The sequence below is a fragment of the Homo sapiens genome, chromosome 2, assembly GCF_000001405.40.
Source record: "Homo sapiens chromosome 2, GRCh38.p14 Primary Assembly".
Taxonomy (NCBI): domain Eukaryota; kingdom Metazoa; phylum Chordata; class Mammalia; order Primates; family Hominidae; genus Homo; species Homo sapiens.
The window spans coordinates 30,311,618-30,336,221 of record NC_000002.12 but is presented as its reverse complement, the minus strand read 5'-3'; the positions used below and the strand labels follow the sequence as shown (position 1 = coordinate 30,336,221).

At 46.2% G+C, this 24,604-nt stretch overlaps 2 annotated features.

Moving 5' to 3' along the window:
- Nucleotides 63-162: an enhancer, noted in NCBI's record as "active region_15539". NCBI's record gives its function as "activates an Ori minimal core promoter by ATAC-STARR-seq in GM12878 lymphoblastoid cells {active_cell/tissue: GM12878}" and the evidence as "EXISTENCE:reporter gene assay evidence [ECO:0000049][PMID:35858748]".
- Nucleotides 183-232: an enhancer, noted in NCBI's record as "active region_15538". NCBI's record gives its function as "activates an Ori minimal core promoter by ATAC-STARR-seq in GM12878 lymphoblastoid cells {active_cell/tissue: GM12878}" and the evidence as "EXISTENCE:reporter gene assay evidence [ECO:0000049][PMID:35858748]".

Here is a 24,604-nt window from a genome sequence, read left to right as displayed (position 1 = left end):
TGAGTGTTCAACAGAGCCTCTGCTGGTGGGAGAGGGGCCAGAGTGGGTGGGGTGCTGAGCCACCCATCACCCTTCCTTCAGAGAAGTTTCAGTTTTAGCTCTTTGCATATTGGGTATCTTTGTAAGATTATATTTGAACTAAAATTTTTGCAGTTAAAAACCAGTTTGCAAATTGTGCACTGGAGACTGAAACTAATGGCTGCCAGGTTCTGTCCTAGGTGGTTGGCACATGTCATCTTGCCTCATATACTCCTCCTGATAACCATTTGAGTGGGTGTGATTAGCCTTGCTGCCGTGATGAGGAAACAAGCATTCTGAGAAAGGAAGGAATTAGCTTTAGGAGCTAAGAAAAGAAGGATCCCAGGACTGGAACCCAGGCCTGCCTGGCTGGAAGCGACACCTTCAGACCCTGCAGAATACTATCACAGCGTGATGCTAATAACATGGATTTCCAGTTGGAGATCTGGGTTCAAGTTGTGTTTCTGCCTCTTCCTACTTGAATGATCCCTGACTGGACACTGTATGTTATTTGAGCCCTGTTTTCCTCCCTGAAAAAATGGGTATGATAATAATACTAGTCAGAAGATGCACACCCTTACATCACATTCCAGTGATGCTATTTGTGTGGCATCTTGGGGGAGAGACCCCGACTGCCTCCTTCAGAACCCCTCATCCCCAGGCTGAGCTGGCCTGACTGCCAGCAGACTCCTCATTCATAATGATCCCAGTCTTGGGGTTGCTGAACCTGCAAGGGTGAAGTTTCCCTGGGGGCCCAGAAGCCCTTTCTTGCGCTCAGTCTGGGGCTATGGGGCTCAAGATCAAAGTGTGTGCTCTGCTTTCCCTGGGTGAGACACATCCCTTCACCCTGCAGCCTTCTTTAATTAGCTCAGAGCCTTAGAGCAATACCTTTTTTGGGTTCTTATCAGCACTTCCTGATAAAGTAATTAATGGGTTTCTCTTCTCCACTGAGCATCCTGCTGCCCCAGAGGGCTGAGCTGGGAAGGAAGGGGCTAATTAGCTCCTGTGTGATTATCTGGCTAAAGCAACTGCGCCAAGTCTCTGCAAATCTGTATGGAGCCCTCATCCTCCCCTGGGTGAAACTTCAGCTCTCTGTTTATTCCTTTTGCTTGGTGCCAAGTCTGCCCACAAAGTTCAGCCCCTTCCACAGAGAGCCTCTCTTTCTCTTATCACCAACATCTGCAGGTGGCACTGTGGGACCCAGGGTCCTGCCTTGAGCCTTGAAGCCAGTCACCTGGGAGCTCTCAGGGAGGTCCCTGGAAACCTGAGCATTCCAAAGCGAGTCCAGACTTTCCAAGCCTGCCTCTGTGAAAAACACAATGGCAGCAGAGTGTTGTGGAAAGAGCCTTCATCTGAGGCCATAGACTGACTCTAGACTGCCACCTGCCACCAAATAAGCTGTGTGACCTTGCGTAAATGATGCATTCTCTCCAAGTCTCAGTTTCCATAGCTTTTTAAAAAGGGAGTGGGGACAGGGAGTTGGTATATAATCAGGGATGGCAAATGCGTGGTTTTCCCAACTGTGATGAATTTGTCATGACTCTGCACCATGTTGACAGCGATGAAGCCATGTCCAGTTCCAGTGGGGAGACTGGAGATGCTGACCATGATGTCTGTCATTGTTGATGTAGGTGCAAGGCTTCCCATCAGCAGCACTACTGGCATTTGGCAAGGGCTATCTTTGCTGTGTTTGACGGTGCTATACCTCTCAGGTATTAGTACCTTTCAACAGCAATCATTGAAAGGCAAACAAATACTTTGCATGTTTCCAAAGATCCCCTGGGGGCTATGCTATCCTTGGTTGAGAACCTTAGGTAGGCAGATGGTGGTAAGGGTCAGGATTCTTTGGGCTACAAGTGACAAAGACCATACTTAAATTAGTTTAGCTAAAATGGAAATACAGCCATTTATGTAACAGAGAAGCTGAAGGAGAGACTTGGGCTGCCTTTCTCCATCCAACATAGCTAATTAATCTCTCCTTCAGAAGAATCTGCGGTAAGGTAAGTTCTTTTTAGATCCTCTGCCTCCCCAAGCCCTTTCTATCTGGGAGGAAACAACGGAAAAGATGAGCAGCAAGGTCATTCCAAAGGTGGGGGATAGATCACCCCTTTGCTCAGCCTGGCAGGCTAGAACATTAGCAGGGACTTAGGCACAGCCAACTGTGGGTGCCTGCCTGGGACTTTGTTCTAGAGAGGCCACACAAAGACTCTTGGCTCTATCCAAGGTTATTGTTGGTGGCGGTGGTGCTGAAGTTGGGGTTTTGGGGCAGGGTAAGTGTGTCCAGAGGTGATGGGGTCCAGTAGGGCAGTGATGGCTGTAGCAGCCTCCCACGCTGAATTCCTGTGATGAGGACTCGCCTAGGCCTTTGCCACCCTTAGCTTCTACATGTACTTTTTTCTTCGGCCTTCCTGTTTATCCTGTGGGTGGCCCAGGACCTTTCCAATAAATTATTTTCCTGATTAAGTTAACTAGAGCCAGTTTCTATTGCTTGCAACCCAGACCCTCGCTAATATAGTTGGAGTGGGGCATCTGGGTAGGACGAAAAGCCAGTAAGCAGGTCAGTTGCTCCAAAGTCTCGGGGGGCTTCTGGAAGGTGGTTAGGAAGCAAAAGCCAGCAGGACCCAAAGGCCACGGAAGCAATTTTTCTTGGTGATTGTGCTAGTGATCTCACTGAAGACAGGAAATTCCTCCTCACAGAGAAGACTCACTTCTATGTAAGGCTCCGCTTTTGGGGGCTAGTTCCTGGCACCCCTATCTCATGATCTACCTCTTTGCTAAGCTCAGGTCCCAGTGGCAGACAGGATGAGTCTGTGCTGTACTCCCTACCCATCATGCCCCTTTCTTTACCACATGGGATTCAGTGGATAGGTGTCTCCACACTTGTCACTGTCAGTTCTAGAAAACAACATAAAGCAAGTGCCTGAGCTGAACGCACAGCCAGAGCAGGGCCTGGGTCTTTCCCTCCTCCCAGATTAACTCAGACACAGACAAAGAAGGGCTGGGGTTCTTGCTATGAAATCTGTGGGTGGGGAGAGTCCGCTTTGCAGTGGAGTTGATTGTAATAAACTCCCCCTCCTCCTCCAGCAGGAAATGGCCAATGTAAAACCCTAAATGAGGGCCGGAGTCTAGAAGAAACTGTAATAGGAACAATGACAGCATCCTCTGTAGGAGCTGCAAAGAGAACAGACCAGGATGTGAACCTGGTTGTTTTCCTGTGAGATCCTCTGCTACATTGTTTGCCCAAGGTCAAGGCTCTTTGAGTTAGCCTAGTGAATTGTTCACCCCCAGCCTCTCACCTCGCAAGTGCTCAGAGGGTCAAAGCCATGCAGTAGAGATTGGGGGTTGAGACCATGAACTCTGGACTTTGGAGCCAGACTGCCTGAGTCCAAATTCCAACTCTGTCACAAGATGAGTACATGTGGGCAAGTTATTAAATTTCTGTGCCTCCATTTTCTCCCCTGGAATGATAAAAATAGGATACCTACCCCTGAAATTCCTGGGGAAGAATTTCCATTCTTCAATGAGATCACCTCATAAGATTACCGTGAAGAGTGAAAGGGCCTGGCACAGAGCATGATCTTAATAAATGTCAACATCTTAGTGCCCTTGTGTGGTACCTGATCATGGTGGTTCTCCTGACCAGTTGAATAGATGACCCAGTTCTCCAAGGTATTCCTGAATGAGGCCAGGAAGTAAGAATAAAGTCATTATGGTCTGGGAGGACCCAAAGTTTATGTTTGTTCCTTAAAACCAAAGAGATATGGTGCTCAGTGGCCACTGTGGGTGAAGTGGCCCTGAAATCTGTCCTGAAGTCTGTCACCTCAGGAATGCTGTGACAGGCCCATGGGGACATGCATGCACACATGGATACACACACATTCACAAACATGCACACATGCACAGGCACACACACACAGACACATGCACAGGCACACACACGAGCACACATATGGATACAAAAACATGCACACACAGACACACATGCACACAAATGAACATATGCACACATGGACACACAAACATGGGTACGCATGGACACACAGATGCATGCACACATGGACACATGAACACATGCACATGGATGTAAAACACATGCACACACAGACACACAAACACATGCACACACACAGACACACACAAACACATGCACACACATGGACACACAAGCACATGCACACACACGGACACACACAAACACATGCACACACACGGACACACATGGACACAAGCACAGAGACACACGGACACACACAAACACATGCACACACACGGACACACATGGACACAAGCACAGAGACACACATACACACACAAACATGCACACGCATGGTGCATTAGTCCATTCTCATGCTGCTGATAAAGACATACCCGAGACTGGGTAATTTATAAAGAAAAAGAGGTTTGGTGGACTCACAGTTCCACATGGCTGGGGAGGCCTCGCAATCATGGTGGAAGGCAAAGGAGGAGCAAAGACACCTCTTACATGGCGGCAGGAAAGAGAGCGTGTGCAGGGGAACTCCCCTTTATAAAGCCATTAGATCTCATGAGACTTATTCACTATCACGAGAACAGCATGGGAAAGACCCGCCCCCAAGATTCAATTTCCTCCCACCAGGTCCCTCCCATGACATGTGGAAATTATGGGAGCTATAATTCAAGATGAGATTTGGGTGGCAACACAGCCAAACCATATCAGATGGGCACACATGGACATAGACACACTTGAACACATGCATACAGAACATGCACGTACACAGACACACAGGCATGCACACACAGACACGTGCATGTGCACAGACATACATGGAGACACACAAACACACACACGGACACATACACACATAGACATACAAACATGTGCATATGCATAGATGCATGCACACACACGGACACACATGCACACATAGACATACAAACATGTGCATATGCATAGATGCATGCACACACACGGACACACATGCACACATGGGCACATGCATACATAAACACATGTGCACACAGAGACATGTACACATACACAAACACATGACACATTCACACACACAAACACATGCACACACAAGGACACATGCACACATTCACACACAGACATATACACACATTTGGACACACACACATGCTTGCATGGGAACTCACAGCCACATGGATGATGTTCTCAGTCAGCTCAGTCACAGTCACTGAGCGACCTTCTTACATCCCCTTCCTACATCTCCCCTAGCAGTGGGGGATGCCACCTCTGACCTATCTTCCCTGGAATCAGAGTCCTCTAATTACTTTTCTAGCCTACAAACACTTTCAGTGGCCAAGATGGAGACCCTGGAAGAGGAGAAGCAGGCACTTGGTATAAACCAGTGTTCTTAAACTCCCCACACCCAGAAACTCTCTTGTTTTTTCCTTCTCAACTCTCCCCACACAGAATTCAGAAACCCCTGAGCAGCTGACTCCCTCACAGGTCTGGGAGCACATAGCTATGCCGTTGCTCCCATCTTTGTCCTAGGGCCAGAATAAGATCTTTATTGACAGTAACAGTAATAATATTATCATTAATAGTAGCAAATGTTTAGAAGGCATTTACAACATGCTTAATACTGTTCTATATGTTTTTTAATACATATTAACTCTTTTTAATCTTCTTAATTATTTTTTCAGAGACAGGGTCTTTCTCTTTTGCCCAGGCTGGAGTGCAGTGGCACAATCATAGCTCACTGCAGCCTCCAACTCCTGGGTTCAGGCGATCCTCCCACCTCAGCCTCCTGAGCAGCTGAGACTACAGCCACACACAAGTATGCCTAGCTAATTTTTAATTTGTTTTTAGAGACAGGGGTCTTGTTATGTTGCTCAGATGGATCTTGTACTCCTGGCATCTAGCAATCCTCCCGCCTTTGCCTGCCAAAGTGTTGGGATTACAGGTGTGAGCCACTGCAACTGGCCTAATCCTTTTAATAATCTTATGAAGTAAGTATTATAATCATCATCCAATTTTAAAGATGGGGAAGCTGAATCACAAAGGAGGAGTAACTTCCCTGATATGGTTTAGCCATGTCCCTACCCAAATCTCAACTTGAATTGTATCTCCCAGAATTCCCATGTGTTGTGGGAGAGACCTAGGGGGAGGTAGTTGAATCACAGGGGCTGGTCTTTCCTGTGCTATTCTCGTGATAGTGAATAAGTCTCATGAGATCTGATGGTTTTATCAGGGGTTTCCGCTTATGTTTCTTCCACATTTTTCTCTTGCCACCACCATATAAGAAGTGCCTTTTGATGAGTTCATGTCCTTTGCAGGGTCATGGATAAAGCTGGAAGCCATCATTCTCAGCAAACTAACACAGGAACAGAAAACCAAACACTGCATGTTCTCACTCATAAGAGGGAGCTGAACAAGGAGAACACATGGACACAGGGAGGGGAACATCACATACCGGGGCCTGTTGGGGGGTCAGGGGCCAGGGAAGGGATAGCATTAGGAGAAATACCTAATATAGATGATGAATTGATGGGTGCAGTGAATCACCATGGCACGTGTGTACCTATGTAACAAATCTGCATGTTCTGCACATGTATCTCAGAACTTAGAGTACAATAATAATAATATGTATATATACATATATTTGAAAGAAGTGCCTTTTGCCTCCTGCCATGATTCTGAGGCCTCCCCGGCCATGTGGAACTGTAAGTCCAATTAAACCTCTTTTTCTTTCCAGTTTCAGGTGTGTCTTCAGCAGCAGCATGAAAACTGACTAATACATTCCCCAAAGTCACACAATAAGAAGCAGCCAGTCTGGCCCCAAAGGCTGGACTATTAGCCACTACGGTCTACTTCACTATGAGCACTAAAAGGCTTATGGCCCTCCTGACCCCCCAGCATAGGTAGTTCAAAATAAAACCAGAAATAAATCATAAAAGAATGTGAGAAAGTGCCACAGAATTTCGATCCTTTTTCTTGATGACGACCTTAATGCTTAAAAAAAAAAAAAAGCAATCTTTCCAAACATACATTTTATCTTGTATCTCCCCCATTTGGCTGGTGCCCGAAGCATGGGTTGCTCAGCCCAGCAGATAATCCAAGTATTACTTTCTTTTCCCTGTAGCCAGAACAGCCTCTACCTGAAATTTCAAGGTTGACCCAGTCTGCGATTGGTTGCTGCCGTTTGTGGAGCATGTAAGCGCTTCTTGGCTGGAAGGGGAGTGGCTTTGGCCTCAAACCTGTAAATGGCAGGAGACAGCTGCAAAATGTGGGTCTGTGCCCCTCCCTCAGCCATGGAGGACAATCTGTGTCGATTGAGGAGAAATGAAGGAGGCTTCCGTGTGTGTGTGTGTGTGTGTGTGTGTGTGTGTGTGTGTGTGTGTGTGTTGGGAGTGGGGGATTGCCTTAGGGCTCCTTCCTGGTTTCCTTGACCCACTTCCAGTCACAGAAGCAATTTCTGGCTTCCCTTTCATTCTTGGGACGTGAGCTATAGTGTGTTCTTGGTTAATAACTATCACCAAGAGATTGTTTCAAAAAAAAAAACACCCCACTTTTCATTTCTATTATCTCTACGACAAAATACAAACAGAGCTGCAGCCTCTAACTTACTGCCTTTCCTTCACTCAACATGCAGCAAAGACTTGGGAATCCTCCCCTGGCAAGGGCCTATGCTAGGTCAAAAAAATGAATACAATTCACAGCTCCTGTTCTCAGGATGCTCAGAGTTGGAAGGGAGGAGCTATGTGCTTTATTTTCCCATTTCTATCCCCTTCCCCTGTTTCCCACCATGCTGTAGGGTAGGGACAGTATTTTCTCCCTTTCAGAACCTCCCTCTCCCAAACTTACAATGGCCCCATTGTCCTGCCCAAACCCTGGCGTTTCATGGACCTTCCATGGGTGTTTGACGATGAAAGGGCTGGAAGGAAGAGAACCAGAAAGGTTATCTAATCCAGTGGCCCCAAAAGGGCAATGCCATCCCCTGGAAGTGTTTTGAAAAACTGTGGGGGGCCAGGCGTGATGGCTCACAACTGTAATCCCAGCACTTTGGGAGGCTGAAGCAGGTGGATCACCTGAGGTCAGGAGTTCGAGACCAGCCTGGCCAACATGGTGAAACCCCATCTCTACCAAAAATACAAAATATTATCCGGGCGTGGTGGTGGGCACCTGTAATCCCAGCTATTCGGGAGGCTGAGGCAGAAGAATCACTTGAACCCGGGAGGCGGAGGTTGCAGTGAGCCGAGCTTGCACCATTGTACTCCAGCCTGGGCAACAAGAGTGAAACTCTGTCTCAAAAAAAAAAAAAAAAAAACTAAAAGAAAAAAAGAAAAACTGTGGGGCACTTTTGTTTGCTGGTGGGTGAGGCCCATGGATGCTACATGTCCCACCATGCATGGGACAGTCCTGTACAATGAAGAATTGTTCTGTATTTCACCCATCTTTCCAATGTTTCTCCAGACATTCATGTATTGAAAAACTCTGGTTATAATTTTCTGATCTTTTAAGCTCTAACTCCATATTACATAAAACCCCAAAGTATTTTTGCATGGTTTTAATATATATCGAATATTCCATGAATACAACTACTGTAAATATTGAGGAAAAACAGTACTTTATATTTCATTCCATACTTCAGTAAATAACAGTTGTTTATTGTTTAGAAAAATTACGCCACTGATGGGAACCCAACTCAGAGTCGCCAAGAAGACAACACATGGATGGATATCAGCCTGCTTGTGTAACTATTGCTTTCGTGGTGATTTTACATGAAGATCCAACATCTCTCATTGTATCTTTTTTTATGAGACAGAGTCTCATTCTGTCACCCAGGCTGGAGTGCAGTGGCGCAATCTCGGCTCACTGCAACCTCTGCCTCCCAGGTTCAAGTGATTCTTGTTTCTCAGCCTCCTGAGTAGCTGGGATTACAGGTGCGGACCACCACACCTGGCTAATTTTGTATTTTTTAGTAGAGATGGGGTTTTGCCATGTTGGTCAGGCTGGTCTCGAACTCTTGGCCTCAAGTGAGCCACCCGCCTTGGCCTCCGAAAGTGATGGGATTACAGGCATGAGCCGCAACGCTCAGCATCATTGCATCTTTTAGTGTAATGGTGGTTAGACATTTACACACTGAATACATAATATATATTATATATGTATACACACATACATGTATATATAATTTTTTTCTTTATCTGTTTAAATTATTATTAACTCATTATTGCTTTTTAAAATTATATGTGTAAGTAGTTTATATTTTTATAAATTTTGTTTCAGGATAATACGGGGGGATGTTATGAAATATTTGTTATGGAAAGAGGGCATAGGGCCTAAAACCCTGAATCTGAAGCTAGCTCAAAACTTCGTCTTTGGTCTCAATTGTTTTCAATGCATGCAAACATACCTACGTTTTAAAACTTTCAAGATTAAAAGTTTTCACCACTTCCCACAGCAATCCATTCATTAAATTATTGGTGTTGCACTTCCTTGTGGTGTGAATGAATCATCTGTTCAGTCTCCAGCAGAAATGGTGGTGTGTGTGGGACCATGTTAAATCTCAGTTCCTTCTAGAAGTAAGTTTCCTGCCTTGGAAAGGACCTTGGGGCAGTGGGAAGGTGGGTGGTGGGAACGTAGCAGCCAGAACAGAGGAGTGGACGGGGCTGCAGACAGCATGGACTTTAACTACAGGGGCCTGGGTTCTAGGCCCTGTGTGGCCCCCAATCTGTGGATGGCTCTCGGCCGCATGCACAAAATGAGGTGTCTGGACTGAGTCCATCTAGTGCAATCTGTGATTCTGTGACTGGTTCTTTGCTCTGCAATGTGGTTCATGGTAGTCACAGCAGTTAAAGAATTGAGTCAAAGAGTCTAAACTCCAAATCCTAGCTCTTCTACTTAATAACAGGGTGACCTTCAGCAAATAACCTCTTTAAGGCTCAGTGTCCTTGCCTGAAATACAAGGATCAAAAAAAGCACCCACTTAATAGAGCACTGTGTGCATTGAACAAGACAAATGATGCAGTACGTCTGGCACCTTATAAACATGCACGGTACTGTGGCTGTGCCCACCACTGGGGACTCCTGGCTTACTCAGCCAAGGTGCTTCTGTTATGATGTCTGTTGTGATGGGGCATGACAGGTGCCCACATTGATCCCCAGTGGCACTCACACCACAGGTGGCTTGGACTAATCCTATACCAAGCAGCCTGGTCTGATATTTCTGATCTAAGTAGCCAGCAAGCCCTGAACCAAAGCTGAAATCTTCTTACACGCCAGGCCACAGATGCTCACCTAATACTAAGATAAAACATCAGCTTTAAACAAAGGGGCTATGTTGATGGCATTTGCCTACTAAAACAACAGGTTGATATGAGCTCACTGTCTTAGTTTGGGCTGCTATAACAAAGCACCAGTAAATAGCCTGGGTGGCTTATCAACAACAGACATTTATTTTTCAGAGTTGTGGAGGCTGGAAGTCTGAGATCAGGGTGCCAGCATGGTCCTGTTCTGGTGAGGGTTTGTTTCCTGGTTGCAGATGACTAGCTTCTCACTGTGTGCTTACATGACAGAAAGAGCGTGAGAGAACTCTCTGAGGTCTTTCTTTCTTTTTCTTTCTTTCTCTTCTTTCTTCTTTCTCTTCTTTCTTTCTTCTTTCTCTTCTTTCTTTCTCACTCTCCCTTTCTTTCTTTTTCTTTCTTTCCTTTTTTTTTTGACAGAGCCTCACTCTGTCACCCAGGGTGGAGTGCAGTGGCACAGTCTCGGCTCACTGACACCTCTGCTTCCTGGGTTCAAGCAATTCTCCTGCCTCAGCCCCCCGAGTAGCTAGGATTACAGGCACCCGCCACCATACCCGGCTAATTTTTGTATTTTTAGTAGAGATGGGGTTTCTCCATGTTGGCCAGGCTGGTCTCAAACTCCTGACCTCAAGTGACCTGCCCACCTTAGCCTCCCAAAGTGCTGGGATTATAGGCGTGAGCCACCATGCCCAGCCTTGGGTCTCTTTTTTCTTTCTTTTTTTTTTTTGAGACAGAGTTTCGCTCTTGTTGCCCAGGCTGGAGTGCAATGGCGAGATCTTGGCTTACCGCAACCTCCGCCTCCCGGGTTCAAGCGATTCTCCTGCTTCAGCCTCCCGAGTATCTGGCTGGGATTACAGGTGTGCACCACCACGCCCAGCTAATTTTGTATTTTTAGTAGAGATGGGCTTTCTCCATGTTGGTCCTAGGCTGGTCTTGAACTCCTGACCTCAGGTGATCCGCCCGCCTTAGCTTCCCAAAGTGCTGGGATTACAGGTGTGAGCCACCGTGCCCAATCTGGGGTCTCATATTTTATAAGGGTACTAATTCCATTCCCTTGGGTTCCACCTTCATGACCTAATTACCTCCCAAAGTCTCCCCTCCTAATACCATCACCTTGGGGTTAAAATTTCAGCGTGTGAATTTGGAGGGCAGACACAAGCATTCAGTCCATGACACTGTTCATTTATTTAACAAATAGTTTTCTATGCCTACTGTGTACTCAGAGCTGTGCTAGATGCTGGGGGCTCCATAGTGAGAAGAACAAACATCTATGTACAAAGCAGAGTGGTTGCTGCTGTCTTCTGCTTGGCTAGCAAAGACACAAAGAGCTTCACAGTAATATCTGCGTGGCACTTAGGAGTTTTCAAGAAACTTGCCCAACAAACCCTTGAGGAGTCATTATAGCCCACATCACACAGATCAGGAAACTGGGGCTCCAGAAGTTTGTAAGTGGTCCAAGGTCACCTGTGTAACTTGCAAAGGGAAGAATAGAAACTGACACCCAGGCCAGTCTAGCACAGTTCCTACTATGCCACACTGCCTCCCACACTGCACAGCGGTGGTCTGGATGGAACTTAATCTCCATGCCAGTGCTAATAAAAACACACATGGCAAGGTGTGGTGGCTCACGCCTATAATCCTATCACTTTGGGATTGAGGATTGGAGGATTGGAGGCTGAGGGGAGAGGATTGCTTGAGGCCAGGATTTTGAGACCAGTCTGGGCAACAGAGAGACTTAGTTTCTACAAAAAAATAAAAAATTAGCAGGACATGGGAGTATGCACCTGTAGTCCTAGCTACTCTGGAGGGCTGAGGCAGGAGAATCTCGAGCCCAGGAGTTACCACTGTTACCTCGAGGTAACAGTGAGCTATGATGGCACCACTGCACTCCAGCCTGGGCGACAGAGTCGGACCCTGTCTCTAAAAAACCAAACCAAACCAAACCACACACACATGCTCTTCCTGAATCAAATTGAGAGCAGCTTATCCTGGGGGCCCTAACCAAGCTAAATGCTCTTGGGATGGTCGGGATCCTGTGCCTTTGTTCCCCCCGCACCAGGTTGGCTCAGAGGGTATCAGGGAGTGAAGAGCCAGGAGAAACCCCAAGGCTGTGACACCCTCAGGAAGCAGCTGGACCCAGCAGATGTGCAGACCAGCTTAGCTTTGCTCCAGATGGAGGCTCTTTTGTCTCAGTAGCCTCATCAGTGCAACGGGCATGACGCCTTCTCCGCCTGCAGGCAGGGGCTGGGCAGGTTGGCCCTATGTGGTCCCATCTCACTCTGAGAACCTCATGTACAAGGCTGTGACTCAACGTTTTCTTCATGGCTGAGAGGTGCTAATTGGTTCACACGCTGTTTTCCAAGATGTGAGCTGGGAAGGGCTAGCTCTTCTGGCGTATCCCATACCCGAGTATTCTCTAGGGTTCTTCACAATCCTGGGACAGTAAAGAAGGGAAAAGTGGTAGGAAATGCGAGTAAGGCATGGAAATTACAAATCCATTGGCTACCAAAATTACTCAAGCTGAAGAAGGCAGACAACTTTAGGAGATGAAAGCTCTAGGGAATTTTCCCTATCAATCTGGGGCAAGTTTATGTGTCTGTCTGTCCCTGACCGGTGTAGAGAACAAGTCCTGGTGGTTCCATCTTCCCAGGATTGTAGAGGGTAAGTACAAAGACATCGTTACTTCCAACCAAGTGAGGCTAAGACCAGGTCTTAGGAGTCTGAACCCCTCATAACCAGGAACACTTGGACCTCAACTACCATTTGTTCTTACTTATTCCCTTACAGGGATTAAAGGTAAGGCAGCACCTAGAAGACTCGATAGGCAAAAATTGTGTGTGCAGGTGTGTGTGTGTGTGTGTGTGTGTGTTGGGGGGGGGGCTTCCGGAGTGAATGGGTTCTAGGGCACATTTTATCTGGCAAGCTGGGGACTTCCCAAGAATAAACGTCCCCAGCCATGAGCTGGTCAGGCCTGTGCCCTGGGAGAAGAGGGCTGAGGCACACACTCTTTATTAATAGCCCAAGCATCCCAGGACCCTTTTTCCCCAAGCCATTTCCATTTGTGGTTCCAATGGGGTTTTGTTTTTGGTTCTCATGAGTTATTTTCTGCCCTCTGCCCTCTGCCTTCTGCCCTTTTGCTGTGGGTCAGCTGGAGAGCTGAGCAAAGGGCCCGACTGGTGGCATGGCAGTGCTCTGAGAAGAGAGAAGGGCCAGGGGATGGGTGGTGGCTTTTTGCAGAAAGCCCCCATTTTGTGCTTGGTGGGGCCCCCAGGGTTATGGCTGCAGAGAACTGGGACTGATTGGAGCTAACTAAGCATTCAGGGAATATCCAAGTGGAGATGCAGGGGAGGGGCTTTTGGGCAAAGCCAAGGCCTAAGGCTCATCCCCAGGGGAAGGGACAAATGTGGTCCCTCTGCATAAGAAAAACACTCTCAGAAGTCTGCAGCCCAGAATTCCCCACACAGGCTGCTAAGGTTGTCAATGTGGGCTCAGCTGTACCTATTTTCTGTCTTCCTTCTCCCTGGGAGCCAAGGTTTTCAATATTGACAAGAGACTCCATTGCACTGGTTCATTCACAGCATTACAACCAAATATCTTATCAACTTTAGGTCAGTTTTAAGAAAGAGAGAGTATCGGGCTGGGTGCGGTCGCTCACGCCTGTAATCCCAGCACTTTGGGAGGCTGAGGCGAGGGGATTGCCTGAGGTCAGGAGTTCGAGACCAGCCTGGCCAACACAGTGAAACCCTGTCTCTACTAAAAATACAAAAAATTAGCTGGGCGTGGTGGCAGGCACCTATAATCCCAGCTCCTCGGGAGGCTGAGGCAGAAGAATTGCTTGAACCCAGGAGACAGAGGTTGCAGTGAGCTGAGATGGCATCATTGCACTCCAGCCTGGGCAATAAGAGTGTCTCAAAAAAAAGAGTATCTTGTGACTTAATAGCCTTATTATTTGATAAGGGTGGTGAATATGTATTATGCCTGTTCCCCACTACCCCTCAGGGATTTTGGACAAATAAATATATTTAACAAGTGTTTTCTTGCTTTGAAAGAAAGAGTACAGCTGACTGCAGGACCTCCAGGGACAGAGGTATCCGGGGAGTTGGGAATGGGGCATGACATCTAAGAGAAAAGTCAGCCCTAGTTTTTCAAGTTCGGGAGGGATTGATTCACTAGGAGTTGGAGCTTGAAGCTGTGAAAGTGGATGAGATCTTTGAGAAACAAAGCACTGAAAGCACAAAATGTGAGTGAGGATTAAACCTTGAGATCACATTGAGGAGGGAAAGAAGCGGGGGAATGAGTCATGCTTCATTCAACTTGGAATCTCTTGAACTAGCCCAGTGCCTAGAATGCACTTAATAAATGGTGCTGAAAGAAAAAAAGAAGAAAAAAGGAAGGAAGGAAGGGAGGAAAGAAGGAAGGAAACAAAAGCCATTAGAAGGCTGAGGGGACTAGCATTTAAGTTCCACACTGTGTCATGCACTTCAAATGCATTACCAAGCTTAATTCTCCCTACAACTCTGTGAAATGGAAATGATTATTCTCATGCTACCCATGGAGGTAGTGGAGGTCAGATTTGATCCCAGCTTGTGTGACTCCCCTGACCTTTCACCATATTCCCTTTAGGAGAAAAACCGAGTACAGTTTCTGAGAGTGTAAGGGTAGAGAAAATTGATAGTTCAAAGAGGAAGCAAGCGCAAACCAAAATTTGTTCAAGATTGGGGTGACGGGAGCATTTCTTTAGACAAAGTGGATGGCACTCCCAAGATAGGAAGAAATTAAAGATTCTGGGTAGGGTTGGGGGGAGTTGCATTTAAAAGAAAGTATTGCTCAGTTCTACTTCACAGCACTTCCAATTTAATTCTACATTTAAAATATGTGTTTAGTGTCTGCACTTTAGTGAGGAAAGGCAGGGAATGGCATTTCAGGCAGGGGGAGTCACACAGACAAAGGTATGAAGCCCTAAAATGCATGACTTTGTGAACAAATGTGAACCTGAAAGAGCCAATATTTCAAGATGGATCCCCAATGGCTAACTGGGCCTAAATTCAAACAGAGCAAAATGGCTACTGGATAACTAGAGGTCACACACATACTCGGAGTTTCCCCAAAACCCATACCTCTGTTCGATGTGGGGACTGACAAATCTCACCTGAACCAATCAATCAGAGCCCACCTGCCTTGATCAATCGGGGTTTAGCTGTATGGAACAATTAAAATTCAGTCGTACTGACCAGTCAGAACTAAGCGAGTGTCAGTCCTTCATTTGTATAAACGGACCTGATTGGGAACCTGGGTGGGAAATTTGCTGTGAAACCGGAACCCTTCCTTTGTTCTCTGGAATGTACCTTGGTCTTACATGGGCTGCTGCATCTCTCAGGTTTGCCACCTGTTCACTGGAATGAAGTCTCTTTCCTCCAAATTCCTTTTCAGAGAACTCTTGTTCACACCTGTGTATCAGTTAAGATTGTATTTAGCAGGTAGTAGCAGAAAACTCTAACCTAGTGGCTTAAATAAGTAAGGGGCTCATCTTTCTCATTTAACTGGGAGACCAGAAGGAAAGAGCCCAGGGCTGGGAGACTCTTTGTATCCTCTTGCTCTGACATCTTGGATCAAGGCTTTTGTTGTCTTCATCACATGATGGTTGCTGCACCTGCAAACATTATGTCAGAGTTCCAGGCAGGAAGAAGGGGGAAATGATGGACAAAGTTTTGCCCATTTATTTTGGTGGGAAGCCTGTCTCTTGGACTTCTGCCTGCCTCAAACCCATCAGAGTGATGTCACTTGGTACCTTACCTGCAGGGGAGAGTGGGAATTGGGGTATTTCTCTTTTCACCCTTTGCAGCAGAGGAAGGTAATATGGAAGGGGACTGGAATGAGTGTTCATCAAGTCAAGCCATGGGTTCTGCCACAGTATGCATAGAGGAAATGTGAGTGGTCCAGAGTAGACAGAAGACACAAGAAGCAACTGGAAATGGGGCTGGTAGATGGGAACTGAATTGTCAGTGCCACATTGCTACAGGTTTGGCTAAAACCACTTCTAGAAAGCCAGGCCCTGGAAGCTACAGGAAGGCTGTCAGTCCATTAACTATGACTCTGGGTTTGGTTAGTGGCGAAAAGTGTAAGTATATCTTTCCAGAAGGGTGTATAATTCTCAGGAGAATTTCATGGGTGAACATGTTTTCTTTCTTTCCCACCATATTCCTTCTCTTGCCTATCTACCCATTCACTCATGCATCCATTTATCCATCCATGCATCCATCCATCCATCCATTTATCCATCCATCCATCCATCCAACCATCCATCCATCCATCCATCCATCCATTTATCCATCCATGCATCCATCCATCCATCCATCCGTCCATCCATCCATTTATCCGTCCATCCATCCATCCATCCATCCATCCATTTATCCATCCATTCAGCATCTGTTATCTATGTGCCAGATGTATTATCTATGTGCTAAGCTTGTATATCCTCTCTCTGTCTCTCTTTTCCCCCGGCTAGGCTGAGACCTTTTCCAAATGTGGGAGCCTAAGGATGAAGAATTATCTAAGACAGTTGCTATTTCAGTTCAGAGCTGGAAGCTAAAAATGTTCGAATGGAAAAAAAAGTTTAAAAATATGGATGTGTATTTTTCTAAAATCCCATTAAGCTGTCAAGGGCCCTCACTGTGTGTTTCCTTTCCCATCGTTGCTAATCGGCAAGGTATGTGTGTGCCCTAAACAGAGGGGTAGCCAGCCTCCTCCTCCTCCTCCTCTTCTCCCCACCTCTTTCTGCTGCTGCTGGTGCTTGAGTCTTGGGAACCCAGGAGCCAGGCCTCCTGTCCCTGGAGGACCGCTGACTGGAACAGCAGCCTCGCTTCTCCATGGAGGCTGGGATGCCAGTACTACCCTCCTCCAAAATGCATCTAGACTGCCTGGGTTCAAATCCTGCCCTCATCACTGACTAGATGTATAACTTTGAGTGCTTTATTCCTCTGGGTCTCAGCTTCCTCAGGTGTGAAATAGGGATTGCAAACATTACCTACATCTTAGTGTTGCTGTGAGATGAAACGTGCAGAACACATAATGCAGGGCTTGCGTTCATGTTTATCATTGCTCTTCATTCCTTCCCTGAATTTAGAGAGTCTTCGCATAAAAGAACGAGGAGAGAGACCTCAAGGTTTCTTTATCCAATCACATAATTTTAAGATGCGAAAATGAAATAGAAGAAACTTTCTCGTCACTTCCCACTTCATGGGAACATGGCTCCAGTGTCCTTTCCGCAGGAACACAGCTTGGGTCGCTCAGCCTCCTCTCCTGTCAGCCCACCAAACCCTCGCACAAAAAATAATCTATATTTGCATTGTTTAAAAATGTGTCCCTTGGCTGGGCACGGTGGCTCACGCCTGTAATCCCAGCACTTTGGGAGGCTGAGGTGGCCAAATTACCTGAGGTCAGTAGTTAGAAACCAGCCTGACCAACATGGTGAAACCCCATCTCTATTAAAAATGCAAAATTAGCCAGGCATGCTGGTGCACGCCTGTAGTCCCAGCTACTCGGGAGGCTGAGGCAGGAGAATCACTTGAACTCGGGAGGTGGAGGTTGTGGTGAGCCAAGATTGTGCCATTGCACTCCAGCCTGGGTGACAGAGCGAAACTCCGTCTCCAAAAATAAATAAATAAATAAAATGGTGTCCCTTAGTGCTGTCCCATCCTCATGGCCTGTCTTGTTGTGCTAGATATACCCATCCCCGCAGCCACTGCAGACAGAAAGCCAGAGCAAGAACTGCTTAGGAGAGAGATTCTGATGGTGGGGACGAGAGTGGTAAAAGGAGTGGCACTGGGTTCTTGGCTTACATTCAAGGGAGTATCTTTGAACCCTCAAGCCCTGGGATTATGTGATTCTAATATTTATATAAATACAGAGTATCATTTCCAATCAGATGAGAAGTTGAGGATTCAGGTTCTGGGGGTATTACTGTTATTCTCACATACAGATCCGGTATGACTAGGAGTAGCCTTTCCAGAAGGAAGTGCAAGTGTTCCTCAAACATTTCACCAGCCCATGACATCACCTCTGGCCTTTTCTCCGTGTTGGCTGCTTAGAAATCAAGTTGACTAACTGTTGGTGCCTAGAAGGCTATGTGTGCTATGAGGGATCACAAGGCGGGTGCCTCAAGATCCCAGCTTTTGAGAAATTTGCAATGTGCTTGCGGAGATAAGCTATAAACAGGTGAATAGTGAAATGACAGCAGATGTAAATGACGGTTCAGGACATCCCAGCATAGCACAGGATGAGGACCAAATGGACCGTAGTTGCTGTGGAAAGGACACTAGGCTGGGAGACAGGGCTCTGCTCCTGGGACCCCTGACATCTTGCTCTGTTACCTGAGTAATCGTTGACCTCTCTGAGCCTCAATGTCCAAGTCTGTGAAATGAGGGGCTGGCCTGGACCCCTACCTCCCTGTATTCACCCCTCTGGGTCCCCCACTCTTCTTGTTCTATCGATACATCTGGGCCTGGATGCTCACTCCCTACCTCGCCTCTGCTTTTCCTGTTCTGTGGGCTCTGAATATCTGCTCCATAAGTTCATGGCTGGGGCAGGGCTTGTTATGGAAGACCATGACAGGATCAGTGGCAGGACATGTGGTGTGGCCTTTCATCGTACCTCAACCTCTCTACACCAGAACATTCACAGTGGAAATAGGGAAGAGAAAGGGGTCCTGGGGTGAGGGGTGGACACCATATGGGCTGAGAGACTCGGGGTTAGGAGAGTTGAGGACAGGGTCTGCTGAGTGAGTGTGCAGGCCCAGGGCCCAGATTCACTGGGTAAGACACTCAGAGAGCAAGAACAAAAGCACTTTTATTTTGGGGAAATTACTCTCAGAAAAACACTCTGAACTTGAAAACAGCTTGAAACAGCTATCCTCATTTATTTTACAAGAAATGAGTGTTCAAATTCTGGCACTTCACTGTGGGACATTGGAGGTCTGTGAGCAGCGGTGGTGGCTGACTTTTCAGCACAGCTTCCTTGGTGCAGGTCTTCTGGGATGCTTGGACCACATTCCTTATTAATGAAAATCCTATCTATCCATCAGGAAGTTTCAGGCTGCAAGGCCCATAATATCTTACTACTGGTAATGGGTTACGGCATACTGACATTTACTATCATGCTTAACAAGTCTGGAAGCAAGCATTGGTTACAATTGTTTAGTGGCTCATTGATTTCAGCAGGGTATGGACTGCTTCTGTCCTTTCTCTCTTCTACCCTTATGGGAACAAGATGGTGGCCACAGTTCCAAGCACCAACTCGTCACATGAGACACCATGAGCAGAAGTAGGCAGGGGTCAAAGGTCACTTCCCTTCACATCTCTCTTTGATCAGAAGGAATATCTTTCCCAAGCAGAATTCCTTCATGTTTCATTGGCCAGAATGGGACCAGACGCCAACCTTAGACCAATCACTGGCAAAAGCAATTGCTTTGTTGATGTAGATCATGTATTCTTAATGAGGGTGATGTCACCCTCAAGGGGGTGAAAATTGGTTCTTGGGGGCAAAAAAAAAAATCATACTGTGCCAAGTATGGTGGCCCACACCTGTAATCCCAGCCCTTTGGGAGGCTGAGGCAGGCAGATCACCTGAGGTCAGGAGTTCAAGATCAGCCTGGCCAACATGGTGAAACCATGTCTCTACTAAAAATACAAAAATTAGCCAGGCATGGTGGCACGCAGCTGTAATCCCAGCTTCTAGGGAGGCTGAGGCAGGAGAATTTCTTGAGCCTAGGAGGTGGAGGTTGCAGTGAGCCAAGATCATGTCACTGCACTCCAGCTTGGGGGACGCGAGTGAAACTCCATTTCAAAAAAAAATCACATTTTTTATGTATAAAGTACAGATATGCATAAAGTACATAAACATACAGTGTATCTGAAGTATTAAATTTTCATGGGAGGAAGCAATCAGGAAAACATATCTAAAAAGGCTCCTTAAGGGGACGGACTGAGTTAAATCAATTATGATTCATTGCTGGCACCTGGGGACTTTTCTTTTGGCCAGGAAGTCTGGGGAATGATGGCCAAACAGGCAGCAACAATATCTGCCACATCCTGCCTAGAAAGAAACATGCTTTGTGTGAAAATCTGGGTATGTGTGTAGGTGTGAGACTTCAAAGTGTGCTTGATTAAAACGTGTCATCACTGACCTGCTTTCAAAGATGGGTGGGCTGGCCAACTGCATGGTTCAATCTGGGCACAAGCTGAGGACCAGAGGTGAATTTCTGGGGACAAAAATGGGAATTGACAAGGGGCTATAGGAGAAAGAATAAAGGCATCTAGAGGAGATTTGTATTATATAAGGTTGGTTGTGCGGTGAATGACTGTGTTAAGTGACTCAAGTTATTTCTCCCCCTTTGGCTGAGGCTCTAGGTCATCAGCACTACTCCAGTGAACCCTGACCATGCTGCTTAGTGAAAAAGCTGCAGGGATCCATCTTTTTGAGTAGATGGCTAACTCCTGCCAATGTGAGGGATTCAGGGGCACAAGGATGTCTTGCCTTCTTCCATGCCTGAGTCCATCCTGAAATCCTCACACCTTCTTTTTCCTCCGATGGTTTAGTCCTTCTCTTCCATTTATTATACCACTGTGTTTCCAATTCCCATCCTGCTTAATACAACCGGTATTCACCCCTCAGGAGAAGTTGTTTAGCTAACTAAGCATTCTTTGTTGGTAGTTGGGTGAGCTGAGGCAAATGCACTGTTGACCTGGAGTCACTGTGGGATTTCCCACGGTTCTGTATCCACAACCACTTTCACACCCTCTGCTTTGGTTTTCCTGGAGTCTTGTCTTACAGACCTTAAATGCTGCCTGGGTGTTTGCTTTTTTTTTTGGCCTCTCTGGGCTCCTGGGAGGTAGGGACAGGTAGTCTCATACAACCATAGGAACCTGATTTCTGAAGGAGGACAAAGGGATGATGATCTCCTCTGGTACTGGAAACCTGGTGGACCTAAGTTAGTGCTCCCTGCCAGAGATGGATTATAAGTATCCTCACTCCTTGACCTGGTCCCCACAGCCCACATTTACGACTCCTCTGGCTAATTGCACTAAAAATCAAAAGCAGTTATCTCCAGGGAATGGGTGTGTAGGTGATGTTCACTCTCCTCTTCATGCCTTTCTATAGATCAGTGGTTCTCAGCCCTGGCTGTATGATTACATCACCTAGGCAGCTTTTAAGTCAATATTGCTGCCCAGGTAGCCGCCCAGGTCAATGAAATCAGAATCTGTGGAGATGGGACCCAGGTTTCAGGGTTTTTGTAAACTCCTGTGTGACTGTGATGTGCCACCAGCATAGAGAGGCTGTAGGCTGTGTGTGTGTGTATGTGTGTGTGTGTGTGTGTGTGTGTATGGGTGTATTTTTCTCACAGTGAGTATACACTTTTTTTTTTTTTTTTTTTGGTAGAAATAGGGTCTCACTTTGTTGCCCAGGTTGGTTTCAAATTCCTGGCTTCAAGCAATCCTTCCATCTCAGCCTCCCAAAGTGCTGGAATTAAAGGCATGAGCCACCATGCCTGGCCTATTTTTAAGACCTTAAAAGAAAATATAGCAATTCTCAATCTGAAGAGAAAAATTAACCCTATTTCTGTTCAATTCTTTAAAAAATAATTAGCCCCTCTTATTTTTCTGAAACTTGAAAAAAATTTACTAGAAAGGAAAACAGTACATGTGGTGAGAAAGTTTACATTTTAAGGGCTGAGCATGATGAGAAATCAAGTAAGAAATGAAAACAGGCCAGGCGCGGTGGCTCACACCTGTAATCCCAGCACTTTGGGAGGCTGAGACGGGTGGATCATGAGGTCAGGAGATCGAGACCATCCTGGCTAACACGGTGAAACCCCGTCTCTACTAAAGATACATAAAAAATTAGCCGGGCGTGGTGGCAGGCGCCTGTAGTCCCAGCTACTCAGGAGGCTGAGGCAGGAGAATGGCGTGAACCCGGGAGGCGGAGCTTGCAGTGAGCTGAGATCGCGCCACTGCACTCCAGCCTGGGCGAAAGAGTGAGACTTCGTCTCAAAAAAAAAAAAGAGAAAAAAAAAAGAAATGAAAACAAAGTCAAGTCATAATTTTAAATGAATATAATTTATATTTCATTTCTTTAGTGAAGTAACTGTTTTCATGGCATTGTGTTTGTTTGTTTTGTTTTGTTTTGTTTGTTTTGTTTTTTGAGATGGAGTCTTGCTCTGTCGCCCAGGCTGGAGTGCAGTGGCGCGATCTCAGTTCACCGCAACCTCCGCCTCCCAGGTTCAAGCAATTTTCCTGCCTCAGCCTCCCATGCAGCTGGGACCACAGGAACCCACCACCACACACAGCTAATTTTTGTATTTTTAGTAGAGACAGGGTTTCACCATGTTGTCCAGGCTGGTCTTGAACTCCTGACCTCAGGTGATCCACCAGTCTCAGCCTCCCAAAGTGCTGGGATTACAGGCATGACCCACTGCACCTTGCCTGTTTTCATGGCATTTTTGTAAGGAGAAAATGATGGAAAAGAAATTTGAAATGAGTAACAAATCAATTGAATATACAGTTTCTGGTGGGTGCTGACATATGTCCTTGCCATGTACTGATCTTTAAATAGTTTTTTTATTTCTGCACCAACCCATGTGATAGTTGTTTCTGGTGAAAGCTGAGATTATTGTAACTGCATGTTTTGTACCAGATGTGGTTGTAAAAGTAGTGGTTGCTTGGACTGAGGTCATTCAAAGAAGAAAATAGAAAAGTAGAGGGTAAGGAAACATGACTGAAAATAGGTCCCTATGGTGTCATGCTCCTGTGTGCCCTTCCACTTTCCTTGGCTGAGGCCTGTCCTTGGAAGCAGCTGTTGCGAATAGGTAACTTGGACAAGTCAATCAAGGGCTCCCCTACCCAGCTCACTAAGAGCAGACATGGTAATGGTCTTCTTGGTTTGGGACTCACTGTCCCTGGAGGCTGAGGCCATGAGGCTCTAACCCTAGGAAGAGTTGGCAAAGCCCTGAGCCTATGAGCCTCTCAGGGCAGCAGGTGGGTGATTTACAGGGGAGGAGTCCAACCAAGCTTTCCAGTAAGATCAACCTGTGGCTTGATTCAGGACAGCTATGTGTTGGTGACCAACACGACAGTCATAGGTAGGTCTTCATTTCTCTAAAACTTGCTTTTTAATGTTATCATGGGAGGCTGTATTAAAAAAGAACTTACCTAAAAATTGTTTTAAAGATAACAGAGTGAAAAATAATACCTGGCTGTATCAAGGCCCTATCTGGGCCGAGTGTTGCTATATCATATGCAAAGTAGCCCAACAGCTTATGTGCTGAAATGTCAAACATAATTATACAGTGACCTAATTTCACAGTCCTAATCTCCTTAATAATAATAGGATTCCTCACATTCATGTGAAGTGGCAGAGATCTTTCTTGTCAAAGAGATTTAATATATATTCATTAATCCGTATTTTTCTTTCTTATAACTATTCTCATATATTTTCCCAAGAATGTTCTCTCTTAAGGCCCTCAAGGGAAGAAACCATGCTATTGCTGTTTCTCTTCAAGAAGTCTCTAGGGCGGGGTGTGGTGGCCCACGACTGTAATCCCAGCACTTTGGGAGGCCCAGGCAGGCAGATCACCTGAGGTCAGGAGTTCAAGAAACCTTGTCTCTACCAAAAACACAAAAATTAGCCGGGCGTGGTGGTGTGTGCCTGTAATCCCAGCTACTCAGGAGGCTGAGGCAGGAGAATCTATTGAACCCTGGAGGCAGAGGTTGCAGTGAGCCGAGATGGCGCCACTGCACTCCAGCCTGGGTGACAGAGCGAGACTCCGTCTCTAATTAAAAAAAAAAAAAGAAGAAGAAGTCTCTAATATGTTGAACTGCACACAGTTGGTGCCTAATGACTACATGATTGACCAGCCAATGTGATCACCAGATCACCAGCACGTTGCTGCAGCATTCACTGTACTAAATGTCAAAATGACTAGAGTTGAGATTATAGTCAGAGCCAGAAGGATGTTGAGGGACCATCTGGGATGCGATCTAGCCCAGTGCCCTAGTTTTACAGAAACTGAGACACAGAAAGGCCAAGCAACTTGCTAGTAAATATATGTTAAAAAAGGACAATCCAAATATACATTTCACCAGGCTGCTGCCACCTGCTCCACTGTTCCCTGCAGGGACAGAGCCTGGCAGAAAAGTTAACAAGTTTGGATTATTAAACTCCATTTCAGGGGAAAAAAGATGTCTGTGTATTAACTGAAGAAGGGCACGTTGGTTCCTCTGCAACAATTAGGACACTTGGCAACAAAAAGGAGTGTGAGGCTGCCATCATTTTACTTTTTTAA